The sequence below is a fragment of the Homo sapiens genome, chromosome 12 (assembly GCF_000001405.40).
Source record: "Homo sapiens chromosome 12, GRCh38.p14 Primary Assembly".
In the NCBI taxonomy this organism is placed as follows: Eukaryota; Metazoa; Chordata; class Mammalia; order Primates; family Hominidae; genus Homo; species Homo sapiens.
In genome coordinates this window covers 8,156,809-8,180,118 of record NC_000012.12, presented here as the reverse complement: position 1 = coordinate 8,180,118, position 23,310 = coordinate 8,156,809, and the positions used below count along the sequence as shown (strand labels likewise).

The following is a 23,310-nucleotide window of genomic DNA, read 5'->3' as shown; positions in this document are numbered from 1 at the left end:
AGTCTGAATCACTGAAATTCAGGGGTAGATTATTCAGTACTTTTCTTTTGGAAGATCAAATGGAAATTGAGTACGATATCTTGTGCTTTAATTGAAGAAGATGGAAATAAAGAAGCAAATTCAAAAATCAGTATACAAAAGTCGATTGATTCCCTCTATGTGGAGGGAAGATGAGCTTGAATAAGAGAAGCATTCTGTGTTACGCTTTAATAATGGCTGGAGATCTGCCACCATGCATTTGTCAAATCCCATAGAATTTCATAGCACAAATAGTACATCTCAATGTGGCTCAGGAGTACATATAATGTCAGCCACAGTTTGTGGGTAAATTACATATTTAATTAAATAGATTAAACAATAAATAATGATATGAGCTCTGCCTGGACACAGTCCTTGCCTCTCCAACCAGTTTGCCAAGGGCTTGAATTTCTTGCTCATTATCCTCACACTTGACATAAACCCTGGCTGCAGAGTAAAATCAATCACTTGTGGAGATTTTTTAATATATTGATTTGTCAACTTCAACCACGGATAAGGCCATTTAGCCTTAGTAAGGCCGATCGTATTAAGATTGTGCCTGTTTGGCAAAATTTCAAGTCATCCCACTTGATATTCAGGAAACATTTTCTCTTGAGTTTTAGGTTCAGTACTGAGGCTCCTTCACGGACAATACATTTTCCAATTCTGAGGACAAGGCAGAGGAGGGCCCCTCTGTGAGAACTTTCATTTTGCTTCGGGAAAAGTACATTGAATCGAATATAGGAAAGGCTTGCAAGGTGGCTGACAGGTTCGGCTGTTTTATCATGCTGGTGTTTTATCTTCTGGACTGCAGTAAAAGGAGCACAGCTGTGTCTGTCTCTGTGTAATAACTCAGGACTCACCTGAATAAAATGTGGGGTGTCATGAGATGAACTGCTACTTCCAGTTAGAGAGGCTCCAGGGACAAAATTTCAAGAGCCTTCTGAGGGATAGAAGAGAAGAGCTGCCTTATTCTCTGATCCCAGGTAACTGCTCAGAGACAGAGGCAAGGGCTGCGGACACCCAAATGCATATACTAGGGGTCTTTGATACAGCCTCCATTTCCCTGCTAAATCTATGCAATGACACACTGAGAAATCTAGCAAGTGGGGCTGAAGATCCCTGGTGTGTCAACTCGAGGGTTGGATGGAAACAAGTGGTTTTAGTGGACGTTGAAGTAAAGGGAGGTGAGCTGTGAGGAAAGAGCTGTTAAAGACTGGGGAGACTCAGAAGTTGGGGTAGAATCTCGACCAAGAATCTCACCCAAGGAGTGCAGATGCAAATCGATTTGTTAGGGCTGCATAAATGAAACAAGGGCTTCGCCAACATACTAAGTTTTTTCAACAACAGATTGTATTCTTTCAATATTTGTAAGTATTGATCTTTTGGAAAAGTTTAATGAGATTTCTTATATAATTCTGCATTCAATTTATTCCCTGGTCACTTTACTATTATGCATTTATATGCCACATTTTTATGAATAGATATTTTCTCAAATTTCTGAATTATTTTGCTAAAGTATGTGTTAAGAGTTTTTTCTAGAGGTCCACCTTCTTGACTCACTTTTCTGATGAGAAATCTATCAGGTTTCTCCACAGTGATTTTCAAGTTTGATAGCTCCTCAATGTGAGAAACTTAATGTCAACTAAGAAATGAATTACCACTAAAGAATTTTCTCCTTTCAGGATGCTAACCATGTTTTGTCCAGTGTGAAATCTCACATGTGCCACAAGTGTTGCTCTATGAAGAAAGGATTTCTCATGATTTTTCATTGCATAACTTCTCCAGTAAGAAGTATTTGGTATTCCAAGAGAATTCATTGCCCTTGGAAAGACTTTCCCTTCTTATTTAGCTTATGAAGGCTTTCCTCTCTTATTTTCCATTTTAGCAGCATTTTATCACTCTGTTTTCTTGTGAACATCAAGCCTGGTGCTTGGCTGAATGTTTATTCACAGAAAATACAAATAAAGGGTTCATCCAAGTAAAGTTTTCTCATGTTATTTGACAATAAATTGCAAATAAAAATATTTTCACACTGAATGCAGAGTTAGAGATTCTCTACCTGAAAGTCCCACATGTTTTAAGTTAAAGCTGTTGCTGAAGACTTTTAGTTGACTATGTTGACAGTTTCAGCTCTCTCATGTCATTTATGCTCAGATCACTAACAAGTCTTTGGTACATACATGTCATACAATTTCTCTTCCATATGAATTTATTGATGTGGACTGAAGAATAAAGGTAACTGAAGTATCTTCCATGTTGATTCCAGTATTTCTTCAAAATATGAGTCCTTTGGCATGTTTAGATGCTACAACTACAGCTGAAGTCTCTTCCACATTCCTTACCTTCGTCATTCCTAACACAGTGTCATCTAAAGTCAGAATATGTTCTGAAGAAGTTTATAATTTTCTCTCCAGCGTGAATTTTCTGATGCTATTTAAGACTAGTACATTGACTGAAGGCTTTCCCACATAAATGGCATTCATATGGCTTTTCTCCAGTGCATGTTCTCTCATGTCATCTAAGGTCGGAAGACAGACTGAAGGCCTTCCCACATAGAAGACAAGCATGTGGTTTCTCTCCAGTGTGAATTATTTTGTTTCCTCTAAAGCCAGAGCTTTGACTAAAGGCTTTCCCACTTTTATCACATTCATAACACTTTTTTCCAAGGTGAGTTCTCTCATGTCTTCGAAGGTTAAAGGATTGAATAAAGGCTTTCCCACATTGATGACACTTATATGGTCTCTCTCCCGTGTGAGTTTTCTCATGTCTTCTAAGGTGAGAACACTGAGTGAAGGCTTTTCCACATAGATGACATGCATATGGCCTCTCTCCAGTGTGAGTCATCTTGTGCCGTCTAAGGCGAAAGCAATTAGTATAGGCCTTTTCACATAGATTACATTGATATGATTTACCTTTAGTATGAATTTGTTTATGTGGTTTAGGGGAGAAAAGATTACGAAGAGATTTTCCACACTGTTTGCTGACATAGGGTTTCTTTCCACTGTGAGTTAACAAACGCTGAGTTATTGTGGAACTGTGAGTGCAATCTTCTCCCGAATCATTACATTCAAAAGGATCCTCCAGAATGAGAGAGTTCTCCTTTGGGACAAAGATTAAAAGCTCTTAATGGTTTACCCACATATATCTATACATTCATTTCACTACCTTTGAATCCTAGACCAAACATTCAGTGGTAGACCCCAGTTGAAAGCTTTCCAATGTTTCTTGTGTGAAAGGAAATTAAATTTTGGGACCCCAAACTCATTTAACCAAATGGAAAAATCAAGCTGGGAACTGGGTCACAGAAACCTGCCTCCCCCTTCTGGTTCCTAAATAATACGGCTACAAGATGAAAAGCTACACGCCTCCCCCATATTTTGCCCACAAGGAAATTCCTCATGAGCTGTTAAAATTACACCATGGCAATGCAAACTGATAACTTGTCTTTACAGGTGCAGTCATCCCCAGTTCACCAGACACAAATGCATATCTGATTGTTTCCCTGCCCAATTTTGCCTATGTTGTCTTATGTAAAATGCAGCTTTCCTGCATTATTCCTCTGCCTCATTTGTTTATGTCATCTTATGTGAAAAAATCCAGATTCACTGAGCCAGAAAAATGCATGAATGACTATTTTTTCTACCTACCTTTTACATGAAAATTGTGTACTTCTCAATATCCCACCCTTTCCCCTTTAAATTTGGAGCCTTCAAAATCTTCTTTGGAGAAAGGCATACACCTGTCCCCTGGGTGCATGTCCTTAACTTTGGCAAATAAATCTCCTAAAATGATTGAGACTTGTCTTGTCATTTTTCTCGATTGACATTTGCATACACATTATCTCCTGCAGACACAGATATGTTCTCTTCTGTAAGATCTCAACTGCAGAGTTATTGCATAATTGTGATGATATCAATATCTTTCAATGTCTGGGCATGAGCAATGTATATGCACTTGTTCTATTTTAGAGATCTCATGTTATGGTTTAGAACACAGTTCAATGTATTCACTAAATTCAAAGTATTCAATTTTTTTTTGCTTAGAAAGCACTTAATGCCAGCCTAATTACACTCAGGTGATTGTGCTTCATTACTAACTTAACCCATTACCATGTCTTTAACTTAGATGACTGGTGTACACAGCTATAAAACTTACCATTGTCATACTGGTGGATGCGTCTTTTCTGGTGATAGGATGCATGGATATCATGTGTTTTTTCTTAAGGGCACTTTCCCTGTCTGAAATAATTGAAAAATAAATTGTTACATTGGTATTATGGTAATAAAATTGTTTGAAAAGCCCCAAGGCCCATTTACTTTTTTTCAAAAGTTGACACTTAGATGTGGCAAGTGTGTCAAATGAAGAAACTACTTGAATAGAAGAAATAGATTGTACAGTGTCGGCAATTAGAAAAGATTTTTAAAATTAAAATGTGAAAAGAGTTAAAATGGAGATGAGATATCAGGCAGGTAAATAGAGGGATAGTCTTCACAGGGGTATCAGGGAAAGAGTCAGCATATGAAAGTTTAACCCCAGCCAAGTACATGAATTATCCTTTTCCTAAAAGTGAAAGAAAAGTAAAAAAAGAGGACACAAGAGTAGCATCTGACACATGAACAAAATGACAATAACATCTAAGGAATTCTGCTCCAGTAGCCTAACCTACATTTTAGAAATTATCACTCATTTAATAAAACCACTAATTAATATTCAACTGATATTATTCATTGACAAAGCACCTCCTCCTATTAGAGCACAGGACCCTGTTGCTTACCTGGATTCTGGTCTTGAAGAAATTCTCTTCCTTCCCGCCACAGCTCTTTTCCTTGCTCCAGCTGCAAAATTATATAGGATTTGCTTATCTGGTACCCTGTTAGTGGAAAGAATACATGTGTTTTGAGTTCACTGTCAATAAATGTGCATTATCACCAAGTGTAAGGCAGGCTATCAAGGAAGAATAAAAACAGTGAAGGTCAGCTCAGGCCACAAGACCTAGAACACAGAAAACTCCCCAGGACTTTTCTGACCCAACATGAGACTGGAAAATAAATCTAAACAAAAGGGCCATCAGGAAAAGGAAATTCAAAACAGTCAGGACCTATGAATGCTGAGTCCATGCCTAAGTTCCAAGACACAATGCATAATACACAATCTTTTCAGAAAGAGAGTAATTAAATCTCTGCACAGTGTGTTTATTATTATTCTCACACAGAACAAAAAAAAATTCGATTTACAAAAATAATTGGTGTTCTATATGGAAAAGATATTGCTATTGTTTTCACTAATTGGTCTCAGCCTAAGCATAGACTAAAGCAGAAGAGTTATTTAGAAAATATTTAATTTAATACATTGAAAATATTCGTTAAGTTCCCAGGTCTGTTATGAGTATTAGAGACTGAGTACCAAAGAAACCATGAAATCCTTGTCAAGACTACATTCTAATTGAGTGACAAACTAAATAAAATAAAATAAAAAGAAAGATATTTATTTCAGATAGATTTAGAAAGTTCAAACTTTTTTCAGATGAGATCTGTGAGAGAAGCAGAGAAGAGATTAGAGTGAGATATGGGGAAGCTGTTCTAACACTTATTGAATGAATGAGCGAATGTGTGTCTACATATGTACGTGAATGTTGAGGGACTCACCGAGGGACACCAGGTGACTGATATTTTCCAGCATCACATCTCTGTACAGCTTTCTCTTGGATGTGTCCATCATGGCCCACTCTTCCTGGGTGAAGTCAATAGCTACATCTTCAAAAGTCACTTTCTTCTAAAACATCACAGACATTTTAGTTTAGACAGAGAAATCCCTTTCAATGTCCGGAAGAGGAAGGCTGAGATGACATAGCTAGGAGCTGGGTATGCAGAATACTCAGTGTTTTGGGTTCCAGCCAGTTCATTCTCAGTACTAAGCTGGTATCTGCCTTTCAGATTCACTCACAGAGATATACCCACTCTGAATCCATTAAACTTTACTATAAAGAAATATCGCGTGAGGTGTGGCATAATATAACCCAGATATTTTTCAGTAATGTGTTAATCACCTCTACATAACTGATTATAAAATTTTCACTTGAACATTCATAAATAAAATGAAATTTACCATGAATTTCAAGTAAATTACGGATTTGTCACAAGGCAAATAACCATGATTTACTACTTTTTAAACATGACTGTGATGAAATAAACTATTTCTCTAATGAACCACAGGTTTCTCACCAATCAAATGGTTAAGAGACCTATGATGTGTTTTGAATAATCTAATGGACTAATAGAAAACGTGTTTCCTATCTAGCAAATATTTATTAAATATAAGTCATTGATCCCTTATTCATTAAAAAGTTAGAAAGTAATGAACCAGACTCCAGCATTCTTCAGAACTGAAAAAGCTTTATGCAGAATATAGGATTCAATTCATACATATAGTCTCTTTAACGTTATATAATTCAGGTGTTCATGACAAGGCTTAAAGACAGTCTAGCAGCACAAGACAAGACCGCTGAGGCTGCTATACTGAGGAAATCTTAGTCCGATGATTCCTGTGATATGAAGCCTCCTGTTCTCAACTTTCTCTCGGCAATCCAAACATCAGTTATCATTGTTTCTCTTTTAAATTTACCTTCTCACTTCACTTGTTCAAAGATTTAAAAAGCCTCTTCATTGTTTTTTTTCTAACCAGCCCGTATAAAGCATTTCCACAGAACCCTAAATTGTACTCTATCTACTATATTCCTTCTTCTGAGTGTGCAACCGTAATTAAATAATTATATTTCTTATATGTTACTTTCACTTACCAGAAGGCAAAAAGGTTAATTACCAAAAGGTAAAATGAATGGGGATAAGAATAATAATGACTTCTTTAGTTGTCCTTTCACAAAGTTTTTAGAAGCTCAAATATATTTTATCAAACTCTTCTTTTCCCTCAACACTGCACAGCAAGTCCTATCACACTGGATTTATTGAACTCAGCTGCTAGAACATCAGACTCATTGTTGGGCTGTGATGTTCTGCTCTTCGCTCATCTCTATCGCTTGCATTCATCACAATCCTAAGTCTATTTCAGCCAACAGTACAGTTAATGGGTCAATTATTTCCCTATGAGATTATAGGATGGATAGAAGAAAAAGAAATATATAAATGAAACCTCTCATATCTTTTTTTGTAAATAGCCTTAATAGGGGCTGGAATAAAATAGTGTAATATTAGAAATTATATTGATAATTTAGGAGTCTTTGACACACGATACCCCACCTAGAGTCCTGAGAAAACTTAATTGGAGGCCAGATACCTGAAAGCCTCCTGATTGCATTTGGAATACCCAGGCTAGGTGGATTTTACATCATAAAAACAAACAAACAGAAAAGAATAAAAATGAAACACCCATGCAAATTGGAGAAAAATGCCCACTTGCCAGCAATATGGGTATAATTTCAGTAGAAAGAAGCATCCCCTACTCACTAGTGAATGCATTGTCCGGAACTCAGTTTCTCTCTGTCTACCTCTGGATTTCCATGTGCAGACACTTTAGGCACTAAGAAAAGCTGAGGTTGGAGAAAGAACATGTGAGACAGCAGTCTTGTGCACAATTTTCAGATCAACCGATGAAAAGCCAGACTTTCACTGAAGTGTGACACCAGCTGCACCACAGCCTAACCAACAGACACAAACACGCAGAGGCCTCTCCTCTTTTCCCGTGGTCAAAATTAGGAAGCCTATGACTATGGTTGCTAATAAAGAAGGAACACAGATATCTTGTGAATGAGAACATCAAAAGCACGGAGTTTTGTATGTTAATTGGCACAAGTCCAGATATTCAATTCCCTCACTGATTTTAAAACACAGGGATCCCTGACTCCATCCACATGTGGAATATGATTTCCACCTATAGATAAACACTGGGATTTCTCAGATTTTATTATCCTAGCTTTATGCCCTAGCAATGTTTCTCCAACACCCACCACAGCCTTCTGAAGCTTTACTCCACTTTTATTTTCACTCAACTCTGACTTTTGTATTTCCCCTTGGAACCTGGAAATAATCAAGTAAGAATCTGTTTTAGGGTCGAGTGTGGCGGCTCATGCCTGTAATCCCAGCACTCTGGGAGGCCAAGGCAGGTGGATCACCTGAGGTCAAGGGTTCAAGACTAGCCTGGCCAACATGGTGAAACCCCGTCTTTACTGAAAATACAAAAATTAACTGGGTATGGTGGTGCTTGCCTGTAATCCCAGCTACTCAGGAGGCTGAAGCAGGAGAATCTCTTGAACCCGGGAGGCAGAGATTACAGTGAGCCGAGATCCCACCACTGCACTCCAGCGAGGGTGACAGAGCGAGACTCTGTCTCAAAAAAAAAATCTGTTTTAGGATGGGGGTAATCAATCCAGGGATTTATTTCACTTAGAGGGTCAACACTCCCATCCTGCTAATCTAGCCCTTAAAATCTCCTGCATCAGAAATTAGCAGGAGTACCCTGAGTCATGGTGTTTCTGTCCTGTGCATACAGTCACAATCCTCTAGGATGCTCAGAAAACACAAAATGACGTAGGGGTGGGAGAAATTTAGCAGCTCAATCTGATATTTTACTAACGTGGTATCTAAAATTCTTGCAATCGTGGTTTATATTAGTCTTTGTTAGTTGCAATATCTCTGATTATCATGATACATATTTGCTGAGAAATACCGATGTCCATGTATATATTCGTACATAGATATGTAGGTATATAGGTGCATATGTTTATATGAATGTATGTGTTTGAGACAGGGGGAAACATGCATGTATTATTTCCCTGCTAAAAATATAAAAATAATTAAATACATTTTATGTACAAGTGATAATTATGTGTCATAAACAAAAAATTTACTGACCCATTTGTACATGAAGTCCAGGAAAAATAAAAAGGGTAACTTTGTATTAATTGTGACATTGTGCTTACAGATGTACATATATTTCCTTATTTAACCCTCATAATAACCCTGCTGATTATAATTTATTTACCAATTTAATAAATGATCAACAGAGTTTGAAAAATATGACAAAATTACAAAATTAGAAAATGACCCAGCAATACTTTTAATTATATTCTGCCTGTCACTGCCTCTTCTTGCTTTTTGACAAAATTACTCCCCTAACCAAGGTTCTCTATGATTCTGGGGACTCCAGAATTTAGACCCCAATTCCCAAACATCATTGTGTCTATTTTTACTGCCACATTTAATGCACATTTACAGACTTCAACAAGCACTTTTCAATATCAACTTTTTTCTTATTCCTTGGACTATTTTCTACATCTGTTCATCAGGACTCCAGTAACATATGACTCCATCTGCCTTCCATGAATGTACCTGACAGTACATGTATTATGTAGTCTATAATTCAAGCAGAACAGCTATTCCTTCAAAAAAATAAGATATTAGAGAAGGCCTACAAAGCTTCGGTGAAACCAGCTGTAACCCTTAATATTATTACCATGTAAGCTCTTCCTCGAATATCAAAATAAGATTTGGGCTTTAGAGAATATTTGTGTGTAATTATAACCCAAACATGAATGAAAAGTCATTACCTGGTCATATACAGACTGTGCCAGGGACAAAAAGGGACAAATATTATAAGAAAGTTAAAGCATACTTATTTCATAAAGGACTCTTGTGTGGAATCTATAAAAACTATTTCAAGATGTAGAGATTAAATATATTTTAAAACACATACATACACAAGCAATCTTTAGGAGAAACTTTTAAAAACATGTTATGGGTCTAAAATTTTCATTAATTCATGGAAAAAAATGTATTGACAAACTTTTCACCAGAGCAGGAATAACAACTTATGTATTTGGTGACTTCAAGATGAGAGCCTGCACAGCTTAGGATCTCCCTCCAGATGTCTCTCTCTCCTTTTTTTTTTTGGGGGGGGGGGGAGAGTTTCGCTCTTGTTGCCCAGGCTGGAGTGCAGTGGCGCGATCTCGGCTCACTGCAACCTCCACCTCCCGGGTTCAAGCAATTCTCCAGCCTCAGCCTCCTGAGTAGCTGGGATGACAGGCATGCGCCATCGTGCTCGGCTAATTTTGTATTTTTAGTCGAGACGGGGTTTCTCCATTTTGGTAGGGCTGGTCTGGAACTCCTGACCTCAGGTGATCCGCTAGCCTCCGCCTCTCAAAGTTCTGGGATTACAGGCGTGAGCCACCGTGCCCGGCCCAGATCTGTTAAAAAGTCATGAGGAAGGAGCCATTCTGCACCCTCAATATTACCTTAATGTTTTAACGGCAACTGTAAAAATTAAGAGGCCGACTTGTGACCTCCTAGCCCTTTCACGGCTATTTAGACACACCTTAGTGAAGTATTAGGAATGCAGTATTAGGTCTCAAGTTCCTGGACAACAAAACCATGTTCTCCAACAGATCTTCAGTAAAAATAGCTGATGTCTATATTCTTTTGCCTGTCTTTTCCCTTCCTTTAATTCACAACTGCAGTCTCGAAGAGTGCTATTATTTAGTAGATTCTCTCACTTCTCAACACCAGTGCTATACAATGTTGAATGACATCTGAGGTGCTAGGGAAACAGCAGCTGACATTCTAGCAATGAACACATAGAAATGCAAAGACCACCACAGAGTAAAGGAGAATAGATTTTTTTAAAGTATGAAACCAAAACGAATATATATCAGATTACACTATAAATGGAAAATCCTGTTATCTTGACGGGATTGCAAGTCAGATTACACTATAAATGGAAAATCCTATTATCTTGACAGGATTGCAAGCCTCTCATGGCTTCCAACATCCAATATATTCAAAGCAGTTCAGGAATGGTGAAAGTGGAATGGAATTTAAAATTATTCTAAGGTTTTATGTGTGAAAGCACCGTGCCCTGAAACAAAATATTTATTTTTAAAGTGCATAATGAACACTGCATACAAAGTTTGTGTAACAGGAGAGAGGAAAAATCTCACATTTTAAAAAAAGGAATATGCAACATATTTACATACAATAAAATAAAATTAAATTAAAATACAGCAATAGAAGACAGAATCTAACATCTGAAAATCAAGGGAGAAATCTATTTTAAATAAACTTGGCACAATTTTTAAAGTAAGTTATGAAAAATAATAATACCTGAATATAGTACGTAAAAGTACCAATACAATAAAGCTAAAACAGTATCCATAGAAAAATTATTTGCTGTACATTATTTTAAAAAAATAATCTAAGTACTTACCTCAATAAGGTAAATGAATGAAATTTAAAAATTGCTTGAGAAAATCTGTGACAGGAAATGAATATAGAGAAGCAGAATATAATTTAACTATAAACCACACAAATAGAATTTAAAAATAAGTGGTAGCCAACATGCCCAACACGATTTTCTGTGATGAAAGAAATTCTCTATATCTGCATTGTCCAATGCAGTAACTACCACACATATGTAGTTACAGAATTTCTAGTTTGGCCACGAATTTGGCTATTACTACTAAGGATATGCCATTTAGTTATTTAATTATAATTAATTTACAGTTTATAGTCACATGTGACTAGTAGTTACTATATTGGCCAATGCAGATCTAGAATCTTGGAGGAGGCAGTTCAAATAATGAGATATGGTCAAAACAAAAATGGAAAAGGCACACAAATAATGAACACAGAATATGAGAATGTCAAGTAACAATTCACACAATAAAATGTAATAATGAGATGCTGCCTTGATGGGACAAATGTCTAATGATATACAAGGCTTGTCTTGTTACAGATAGAAGAGCATGAGCAGGGCAGGAGAGGGCTCTTCCCCTACCCACTAGAAATGTCAGGTGACGGCCTGTCAGTTATCACATTGCCTCTCTAAAAATGATAATTAGGCAGCATCAGAGAGAGGCCGTTTCCTGATGGTCTACACCTGTTAACATCAAAAATGTGAACTAAATGCAGACCCCAGGAAGAAGCAACTTCTTGGGCGTGCATGTTAAGAGACAAAAATGGCAAAGCATAATCTTCCGGGGGCACACTCCACCGGAAAAGGAAAGAAAGCTTCAGATGGACATGGATATAACTCCCTAAACACACCGTGCATGCTCAATTTCAAAGGGTAAGGAAACCACTGTGCATGCCGGAAACTCTCCCTAAAGGAAGAATCATGGGAAAGTGGCAAACCCATCGCAGGATCAAGGTTAAAGCCTCTTCTCTTTTCTTTCTTGGACCTTCAGGCATCTGCCTGGGTCTCTTCCAAGAGAATTTTCCTCTCCTTCCTGTTCTAAAGCCTTTTTAAATAAACTTCCACTCCTGCTCTGAAACTTAGCGCTCAGTCTCTTTTTCCGCTGTATGCCCTTCAGTCGAGTTCTTTCTTCTGAGGAGGCAAGGACTGAAGTTTCTTATGGACCCATGCAGATATGCTGCCAGTAACTGGAATCTCTTCTACTGGTAACAGTATCATTGTAAGGGAATGAGACCAGTTCACATCTCAGTGCTTGGAGAACTCACCAGAAATAAAAAGTGGGAGGATGCAGTGAACTTATCTACCTTCCAAGGCAAGTCCCACAAGCAAGCAGCAAGACTCTCTTTCCCCAAGGTCTTAAACTCTTCAGATGCTCTTTCTCTGGGAAAATGCATCCTCTGATTGGCTTCCCCTTATATATGAAAAAAAATTAATAAACCTAATCACCACTACATTCCAAGAGACATGCCCTGATTGCACAGACACTGAACCTAATCAAAAACTTCCTTCTGGAGACACTCCCTGTTCAGTTTGATTGGATTTTTGAGACTACTACTAAAAACCCTCACACAAAGTTGGAAACCAAAGAGTTAAGGCTATTTTGAAGTAAAAATGTGAAGATTAATTCCTTTTTTTATTCATAAGTACTTTTGAGTGTATTATATGTACTAGAAAGCATTCCCAGTCAAGGGATACAGCAAGAAACCAGACAAACTAGAGTCTTATGGAGACTCTATATTCTAAAATTCTTTGGAGGTAAACTGGACTTGAAAACAAATGGAAGGTGAATAGATATAAAAAGTTTCAATGTTCATCATGATGTAAAAAAATAAAATATATTGCAGAAATGAAGTCAGGAAGTGTTATAGGGGTCATGTAGCACTTGTAAGACCACTGGTATTGTCTGAAATTCAAGCAGGCTGCAGAAATTTGGGTAACTAAAAGGAAAGCAAATGCTAATAGAAGACAATGAAGAAAGGGCCTCAAAGACATTTCAGAGACCTTGGCTGGTGGCAGCCCCTCCCCTCAAAGGCCTGGAGGCCTAGGAGGGAAGAATGGTTTTGTGGGCTGGGCCCAGTGCAAGCGCAGGACAGTGCTCACAGCATTCTAGGTCTCAGCCACTCCAGCTCCAGCCATGGCTAAAAGGGCCCCAGACATAGTTTGGGCCACCGCTTTAGAGGGCGCAAGCCACAAGCCTTGGCAATTTCCATGGGGTATTAAACCTGCAGGTGCACAAAGTACAGGAGTGCACTGCTGATAAACATATACCTGAGACTGGGCAATTTACAAAAGAAAGAGGTTTAATTGGACTTACAGTTCCACATGGTTGGGGGGAGGCAGAAGGCAAAAGGCATGTCTTACATCACAGCAGGCAAGTGAGAGAATGACAGCCAAGCAAAACTGGTTTCCCCTTATCAAACCATCAGAACTTGTGAGACTTATTCACTACCACGAGAACAGCATGGGAAAAACTGCCCCCATGATTCAGTTATCGCCACTGGGTCCCCCCACAACATGTGGGAATTATGGGAGTACAATTTGAGGTGAGATTTGGGCGGGGACACAGAGCCGAACCATATCAGAAGCCTTCACCTGGATCTCTAAAGATGTATGGAAAAGCCTGTATGTCCAGTAGAAGTCTGCTGGGGTGGAGACTTCATGGCGAATGTCTACTACAGCAATGCAGATGGAAAATGTGGGGTTGGAGCCCCCACAGAGTCCACACTGGGGCACTGCCTAGTGGAGCTCTGAGAAGACAGCCACCATCTTCCAGACCCGAGAATGGTAGATCCACTGACAGCTTGCACCCTGAGCCTGGAAAAGCTGCAGGCACTCAACACTGGCCCTTGTCAGCAGCCATGGGGACTGACCCTTGTATCCAAAAGAAAATAAATTGTTCTACCATAAAGATGTGTGCACTCATATATTTATTATAGCATTATTTGCAATAGCAAAGACATGGAATCAACCTAGATGCCCATCAATGTTAGAGTGGATAGAGAAAATACAGTATATGTACACCATGGAATACTATGCAACTGTAAAAAAATTATGTCCTTTGCACCAACATAGATGAAGCTGGAGGCCATTATTCTAAAATAATGCAGGAAGAGAAAACCAAATACCATATGTTCTTAATTATAAGTGAGAACAAAGCATTGGTTACACATGGACGTAAAGATCGGAACAACAGATACTGGGGACTACTAGAGGGGGAAGGGAAGGTGGGGACAAAGGCCTGAAAAACTATCTATTGGGTATTATGTTTTCTATCTGGGTTACAAGATCATTCATACTCCTCAGCATCACACAATGTGCCAATGTAAAAACCTGCACATGCATCTCCTAAATCTAAAATAAAAGTTGAATTTTTTTTTTAAATGGGCAAAGATCTGGCTAACACGATGAAACCTTGTCTCCACTAAAAAAAAAAAAAAAAAAAAAAAAATTTAGCTGGGCGTGGTGGCAGGTGCCTGTAGTCCCAGCTACTTGGGAGGCTGAGGCAGGAGAATGGTGTGAACCTGGGAGGTGGAGCTTGCAGTGAGCCGAGATCACGCCACTGCACTCCAGCCTGGGTGACAGAGCGAGACTCCATCTCAAAAAAAAAAAAAAAAAAAAAATGGGCAAAGATCTGAGTAGACATTTCCCAGAAGAACGGATACAAATGGCCAACAACTATATGAAAAAATTCTTACCATCTCTAATCATCAGGGTGATGCAAATAAAAACCACCATGAAATATCACCTGATAACTCTTAGAATAGCTATTATCAAAAAGATGTATAACAAGTATTAGTGAGGATGTGGAGAAAACCCTTGTATACTTGTGGTGGATATACAAATTACTATGTCCATTTCAGATAATAGTATGAAGGTTTCTCAAAATTTTTTTAAATAAAACTACCTGCTGATGAGGCCGTTGAGATATAAGAACACTTTTACACTGTTGGTGGGAATGTAAATTAGTTCAACTATTGTGGAAGACAGTATGGTGATTCCTCAAAGACCTACAACCAGAAATACCACTTGACCCAGCAATCCCATTACTAGGTATATACCCAAAGGAATATAAATCATTCTATTATAAAGATACATGCACACATATGTTCATTGCAGCACTATTCACAATAGCAAAGACATGGAATCAACCCAAATGTCCATCAGTGACAGACTGGATAAAGAAAATGTGGTACATATACACCATGGAATACTATGCAGCCATAAAAAGGAATGAGATCATGTTCTTTGGAGGAACATGAATGGAACTGGAAGCCATTATCCTCAGCAAACTAACCCACGAACAGAAAACCAAACACTGCACATTCTAACTTACAAGTGGGAGCAGAACGGTGAGAACACATGGATATTAGGAGGGGAACAACACACACTGGGGCCTGTTGGGAGGCAGGTGGAGGGAGAGTATCAGGATAAATGGCTAATACATATACGCAATGGAATATTATTCAGTGTTACATAATAATGAAACCCTGTCATTTGTGACAACATGGATGGACTTGGAGGGCATTATGTTATATGAAATAGGCCAACCACAGAATGACAATTACTATATGATTTCACTTGTATTTGAAATCTAAAATAGACAAACTCACAAAAGCAGAGAGTAGAATGGTGGTTGCCAGGGGCCCTGGTGCTGGGGAAATGGGTAGATGTGGTTAGAGCACAAAGTTTCAGATATACCACGTAAGTAAGTTCTGGAGGTCTCGTTTACAGCATAGTGCTTACAGCTAAGAATACTGTATTGCATACTTAAAATTTGCTAAAAGGGTAGATTTTGTATTCTTACCAATATTTCTTTCCAAAATAAAAATAATAATAAAGGGGGGGACTCAGGGAGGTGAAGGATATGTTTATAATCTTGATGGTAGTGATGTGTTCATGGTGTGTACTTATCCCCAAGCTCACTGAGATGCACACCTTAAATATTACAGCTTTTTAAATGTCATCATAGCTCAACAAAGTCGGTTAAAAAAAACAAGAAGGGGGTTGGTTAAAAAACTTAAAAGGAGGGGTAGATGTTCCCTTGTTTTTCTCTCTTGGCTTTTTTCCTTCCTGCTGCCTGGAATTCAAAAATGATAGGTGGGGATTTAGCAGCCAAACTAGAGCCTCTTCTAAAGTATAGCAGAACAGAGAGCTGGAAGGGGCCTGCGTCCCTAATGAATTTGGCAGGTATCTGTACTAGCCATGGTAGGTAGAACTATAGATTTAAGTGAGGGAGAAACAAACTTCTGCCTTGTTTAAGCCACTTTGTTCAGACATTAATTTTATATACATATAGAGAACATATGCTCCTTTATGAGTAGGAAAAATGTTTATGCCATATGGTCCATGATGGGTGTTCAACAATGTAGGATGAGGCTGATTATGATGACAATGGTGACAAATAGCATGAAATAATAAGCAATGAAAAAAGGTGGCCTAATAGTTGTGTATGGTTACTCTATTTAAAGATTCTGCTGCTAATATCATTCAATGTATTTGTATGCTGGTGGGAGTTTTATTAGATGTAGACTAAGAAAGTTTACATTATTTAATGAAAAATACTTGACCAATTTAAAAAAAAATAAAAATATCATGAGATGGAACTAAGCGTCTGTATTGCAAAGTAACCCTCCCAGTTGATTTTCTGCATAGTAATGATTGAGAATCCCCTGATCTAGATCCAACAGATCTCGATCTTTATAGGTGCTATCAAGGAAGCACCTAAGGAAGACAATTTTCCTGACTATATCCATACCTCCAGTTAGTAATAGATCTAGAGATCTAGAATCCAAATCCAGACCTCCTGCCTCCATGTGCGGTGGTCTTTCGCTGTTGTTTTGTTCCACTTGGTGAAGAGGATTTGAGAATAGATAGCCACATGATTCAACTCCCTCCTCAGTTCTGAGGAATATAGCCTTGTCCTAGCAAGCAAGAAGTTCATACAGTAGTGGATGAGGCAAATATACATTCACTAATCTAACATACAAGGCAGTAAGTACTGTAACATAAACAAAGCACTTTGGAGTTTCAGACCAGGAGCAAGTGGGGTGATTAATTCTTAGCAGTGCTAGTAAAGTCTGGGAAGTGTTCACTAACAAAATGTCTGGTCATTAATGAAACCAACTGTGACAGTATCTCTCACGTGATGGGCTTAGACAGCATTTCGCTCTTGTCTGATAGCACCCATTTTCCCTTGTGGCTTTCTTTGACTCCTACTTCTTTTAACTTTTCTTGCTCTCCGTGGGAGAAGATAGGGACTGCAGCTGGAGGGGGAAGACAAAGGATTAGGTGGGAAATGGATGCTGCTTGAGAAGAGGCAGCTTGTTTGGCTACTTGGTCAGCTAGATTATTCCCTCAGCTCTTGAAGGAAAGATTCTTCTAGTGACCTGGAACATGAACAACTGCTATCTCTTCTGGCAGCTGTAAGTTCTCTAGTACTTGGATTATCAAGTCTCTATAGACTAAGTTTCGGCCTTTACTGTTAATGAGGCCTCGCTCTGCCCAAATTTTCTGAAAGGTGTGGACTACTCCAAAGGCATACTTGGAGTCAGTATAAATAGTCCCTTTCTGGTTTTGCAGAAATTTTAAGACTTGATTTAGTGCAAACAACTCACATGTTTGCCCAGACCAGTCATTAGGTAGGGTGTCTCCATCTACTACTGAGTACCTGTTATGCCTTTTCTCTTTTATTACTTGAGAACAACCATCTACAAAAAGGTGTCTTCTGGTTTGAAAGGGAGTTTATCTAAACATTTATGCCCAAGTTCTTCTGGTCTGGGGGCATAGGTTCTTTTCTGGGTTTGAATTTCCTGTTAAGAAGGCAGCAGGGTTAAGTGAATCATCAGTGGTTAGGGCTAAATCAACTTTTTCTAACAAGATAGCCTCATATTTTAAAATTCTTGATTCAGTAATCTACCTTTCTGCCTTCTGACTTAGGATAGTTCCGACCTGGTGAGGTGTGCTCACAATGGAGTTTCCTCCAAAAGTTATTTTTCTACTTTCTTCTGTAAGCAAAGCAGTTGCCGCTACAGATTGAATGCATTTGGGCCATCCACAGGTTACTGGGTCAAGGATTTTTTATAGGAAGGCTATGGGTTGCCGGCGGCCTCCGTGCTTTTGGGTAAGTACTCCTAAGGCTACTTCCTTGTTTACTTTGACAAAAAGATGGAATGGCTGCCTAAGGAGGGTAAAGCTAGGACAGGGGCAGTTACTAATAGATGTTTTAACCTTTCCACCTGTTGCATTTCTGGTAATTGGAACAGGAGATATTACAACTGACACCACTGATCATTCAAGGCTACTATGAACACCTTTATGCACATAAACTAGAAAACCTAGAAGAGATGGATAACTTCCTAGAAAAATACAACCCTCCTAGCTTAAATCAGGAAGAATTAGATACCCTGAAAGACCAGTAACAAGCAGCAAGATTGAAATGGTAATTTAAAAAATTACCAACAAAAAAAAGTCCAGATGAATTCACAGAAGAATTCTACCAGACATTCAAAAAAGAACTGGTACCAATCCTTTTGACACTATTCCACAGGATAAAGAAAGAGGGAACCCTTCCTAGTTTATTCTGTGAAGCCAGCACCACCCTAATACCAATACCAAGAAAGAACTTAACCAAAAAAGAAAACTACAGACCTGTATCCCTGAAGAACATAGATGCTAAAATCCTTAACAACATACTAGCTAACTGAATCCAACCATGATCAAATGGGTTTCATACCAGAGATGCAGGGATGGTTTAACATATGCCATTCAATAAATGTGATACACCACATAAACAGAATTAGAAACAAAAATCACATGATCATCTCAATAGATGCAGAAAAAGCATTTGACAAAATCCAGCATCGATTTATGATTAAAACTCTCAGCAAAATCCGCATACAGGGGACATACCTCAATGTAATAAAAGCCATCTATGACAAACCCACAGCCAACAAAATACCGAATGAGGAAAACTTGAAAGCATTCCCTCTGAGAACTGGAACAAGACAAGGATGCACACTCTCAGTACTCCTCTTCAACATGGTACTGGAAGTCCTAGCCAGAGCAATCAGAAAAGAGAAAGAAATAAAGGGCATCCAAATCAGTAAAGAGGAAGTCAGCTGTCACCGTTTGCTGATAATATGGTCATTTATCTCGAAAACCCTGACGATTCCTCCAGAAAGCTCCTAGAACTGATAGAAGAATTTGGCAAAGCTTCTAGATATAAGATTAAGGTACAAAAATCAGTAGCTCTTCTATACACCAACAGCAACCAAGTGGAGAACCAAATCAAGAACTTAACCTCTTTTACAACAGCTGCAAAAAAAAAAAAAAAAATACTTAGAAATATACCTAACCAAAGAGGCAAAAGGCCCCTGCAAGAAAAACTATAAAACACTGCTGAAAGAAATTATAGATGATACAAACAAATGGAAACACATCCCATGCTCATGGATGGGTAGAATCAATATTGTCAAAATGACCATAGTGCCAAAAGCAATCTACAAATTCAACACAACACCCATCAAATACCATCATCATTCTCCACAGAATTAGAAAAACAATTCTAAAATTCATATGAAACCAAAAAGGAGCCTGCATAGTTAAAGCAAGACTAAGCAAAAAGAACAAATCTGGAGGCATCACACTACCTAATTTCAAAATATATTATAAGGTCATAGTCACCAAAACAGCAGGGTACTGGTGTAAAAACAGGCACATAGACCAATGGAACAGAATACAGAACCCAGAAATAAAGCCAAATACTTACAGTCAACTGATCTTCAACAAAGCAAACAAAAACATAAAGTGGGGAAAGAACACCCTTTTCAACAAATGGTGCTGGGATAATTGGCTAGCCACATGTAGGAGAATGAAACTAGATCCCCATCTTTCACTTTATACAAAAATCAACTCAAGATGGATTACAGACTTAAACCTAAGACCTGAAACCATAAAAATTCTAGAAAATAGCATTGAAAAAACCCTTCTAGACATTGGCTTAGGCAAGGATTTCATGACCAAGAACCCAAAAGCAAGTGCAATAAAAACAAAGATAAAGAGCTGGGACTTAATTAAACCAAAGAACTTTTGCATGGCAAAAGGAACAGTCAGTAGAGTAAACAGCCCGGAGACTGGGAGAAAATCTTCACAATCTATACATCCAACAAAGGACTAATATCCAGAATCTACAACGAACTCAAACAAATCAGTAAGAAAAGAACAAACAAAAAAGAAAACAAACAATCCCATCAAAAAGTGGGCTAAAGACATGAATAGACAATTCTCAAAAGAAGATATACAAATGGCCAACAAACATATCAAAAAAAATCCTCAGCATCACTAATGATCAGGGAAATGCAAATCAAAACCACAGTGTGATACGACCTTACTCCTGAAAGAATGGCCATAAAGAAAAAGTCAAAAAACAATAGATGTTGACATGGATGCGGTAATCAGGGAACACTTCTACACTGCTGGTGGGAATGTACAGTCACTATGTAGAAAAGTGTGAAGATTCCTTAAAGAACTAAAAGTAGAACTATAATTTGATCCAGCAATCTCACTACTGGGTATCCACCCAGAGAAAAAGAAGTCATTATACAAAAAAGATACTTGCACATGCATGTTAATAGCAGCACAATTCATAATTGCAAAGTCATGGAACCAGCCCAAATGCCTGTCAATCAACAAGTGGATAAAGAAAATGTGGTGTATATATTTATACCATGGAATACTACTCAGCCATAAAAATGAATGAAGTAATGGCATTTGCAGGGACGTGGATGAGACTGGAGACTATTATTCTAAGTGAAGCAACTCAGGAATGGAAAACTAAACATCATATGTGCTCATTGATATGTGGGAGCTAAGCCAGGAGGACACAAGGCATAAGAATGATACAATGGACTTTGGGGACTTGGAGGAAAGGGTGGGGGGACAAAGGATAAAAGGCTACAAATAGGTTGCAGTGTACACTGCTCGGGAGATGGGTGCACCAAAATCTCACAAATCACCACAAAAGAACTTACTTATGTACCCAAATACTCCCTGTACCCCAGTAACCTATGGAAAATTTTAAAAAATAAAAATCAATAGTGAAAAATCTTAAAAGTAGTCAGGGAAAGGAAATATATCATATCCAGAGAAAAAAACGTAAAGAAAAACCCAAGACATTTCATCAGATGTTTGGCATATTTATAAAGATACACTTACAATTGCCATTTGACGCATCAATTTTATTTCTAGAAACGTATTCAAGAGAAGGGAAAAAATATTTACAAAAATACTTCCACATAAATATTTATAAGAGATTTTCTTAAAGGCCAAATCCAGGAAAAAAACAAATTTCCATCAATAGGAAAATGTATAGATATTTATATGTATGTTGCATTTATACAATGAAATACTACTCACTAGTAGAAGGAAATTAACTACTGGCAGCAAAAATAACATAGATAAATCTCAAAAACAGTATGCTAAACAAAAGAAGCCAGACACAAAGGAGAACATACTGTATAGTTTTGTTTGGATGAAACTCTAGAAAAGAAAAATATAATCCACATTTAGAACAGCTCAATGGTTGTTTGGGGTTGGGTGGAAGCAGGATTGACTAAGAAGGGGTTTAGAGAACTTTGCGGGTAATAAAAATGTTCAATTTGATTGCATTTTAAAGAAGAAAGAAAAATTATCTGAGAATTGAGGGTCCTTTTAAATTATCAGGCCTAGAGAAACATTAAAATGAGAGCAAACACATCCTACTCCCTTTCTTTGAGCTATGTATTCATGTCTTAAAACTGCTTGCTATTGCCAGGAGTGATTACAAATTAACTTAATGATGTCACACTGGACACTATAATCCATGATCTATAGTTAATTATTTATAGCCAATCACTAATCAGTGTTATTTCTGTGAACCAATGAGAATTCCTGACAAACAATTGTGTACCAACCCACTCACTGTCTGCCTCTTTTTCCTTTAAAAACCTGCCTGTAACAAAGGCCAGAGGAAGCTAACAGCCAAGAGTATTTGGGTCTGTTCTTCCTGGCTTCTGCCCTCACTTTGGCTCAAGAAAACTCTAATTATAATTTGTGTCTCAGCCCCTTCCTTTTAGGTCAACATTTCACAGTTTACAAGTATAAAAACTTGTCAAACTCATTGAAATGTTTACTTAAATGGATATATTTTGTGGTATACAAATTTTACTTCAACTGATTCAAAAAGAAGGCAATGAGCATGATAGAAACCATTTTCTCTTCTCCCTATACTCCTTCAATTCACCCAGAAGGAATTTCCATTAACAAGTCCAACATGTTTCCTATTTCTTCATTTCTCACAATATCCAAAACACTTTATATAGGGTCAAATGTTCTCATTATTTCCACTGGAGAGAATTAATTAATCAAAGGCCAGTATTCAAGTGTTGCTTTTCTCAAGGAAGTGAGAGGAAGGACTTCTTTTTTCCCCCTCAGGCAGCCTATACAATTCTCCCAAAAAGGGTTTCTATTTTAGACTTGGGTTTGGGCATAGTAGGAAATGCTTTTTGGCTTTAAATCCAATTCACATGTTTCAGTACAGCTTTACCAGTAATAAAGTGAGTGTTTAGATTGCTTCCTGATTCTTTTGCCTATTTCATAATTTACTTAGAATTCAGACTACAGTGTCATTTCAGCCTATTAAGTTTGAAATGCTTATTTAGGGTCTCCAGTTGAAGCAGCAGGACTTACATGGAATTCATAACAGAGAACAAGCTGAATAGGAATGTGGACATTAGAACAGGAAGTCTGATTACTCATGGCAAAGTTATACCTTTAAGCGGAATTGCATTTCAAAGTAGATCAGGAAAAACCCCTTGCAATTTTCCATTATGCAGATTTTTGACGAGTCACTGGAAAAGAGGAAGGTGGATTAGTTCCCTTAGACTTCATTATGTCTGTCAAGCTAAAGAGTTTCATGTTCTTAAAATCCTTCAGAACACAACCCTCTCACAGAGCAGCTTAACCGTAATGTCACCCTTATTCTCTCTCATGTGTTTTAAGATTAAAACTGGCATCATGATTCTGACTCAATGTCAATTCTCTCCAATCCTCCTG

General features: G+C 37.9%; 1 protein-coding gene across 1 annotated transcript; it reads right to left on the bottom strand.

The window, feature by feature from the left end:
- Positions 1-72: 72 nt before the first annotated feature.
- Positions 73-23,104, bottom strand: ZNF705A (zinc finger protein 705A). The gene is made up of 6 exons (NM_001004328.3): positions 23,027-23,104; positions 7,482-7,564; positions 5,667-5,793; positions 4,796-4,891; positions 4,177-4,259; positions 73-3,120 (listed from the first exon to the last, which is right to left on the bottom strand). The coding sequence occupies exons 2-6, from the start codon at positions 7,491-7,493 to the stop codon at positions 2,536-2,538; spliced, it is 903 nt and encodes a 300-aa protein (NP_001004328.1). The 5' UTR covers positions 7,494-7,564; positions 23,027-23,104; the 3' UTR covers positions 73-2,535.
- Between the last annotated feature and the right edge of the window lie 206 nt (positions 23,105-23,310).

Excerpts from the sequence above, each read along its gene's own strand:
- ZNF705A (NM_001004328.3), bottom strand. Across the intron at positions 4,892-5,666 it reads CAGTCACCTGGTGTCCCTCG|GGTACCAGATAAGCAAATCC; the intron begins GTGAGTCCCTCA and ends TTCCACTAACAG. Across the intron at positions 3,121-4,176 it reads CATCCACCAGTATGACAATG|GAGAACTCTCTCATTCTGGA; the intron begins GTAAGTTTTATA and ends TTTGTCCCAAAG.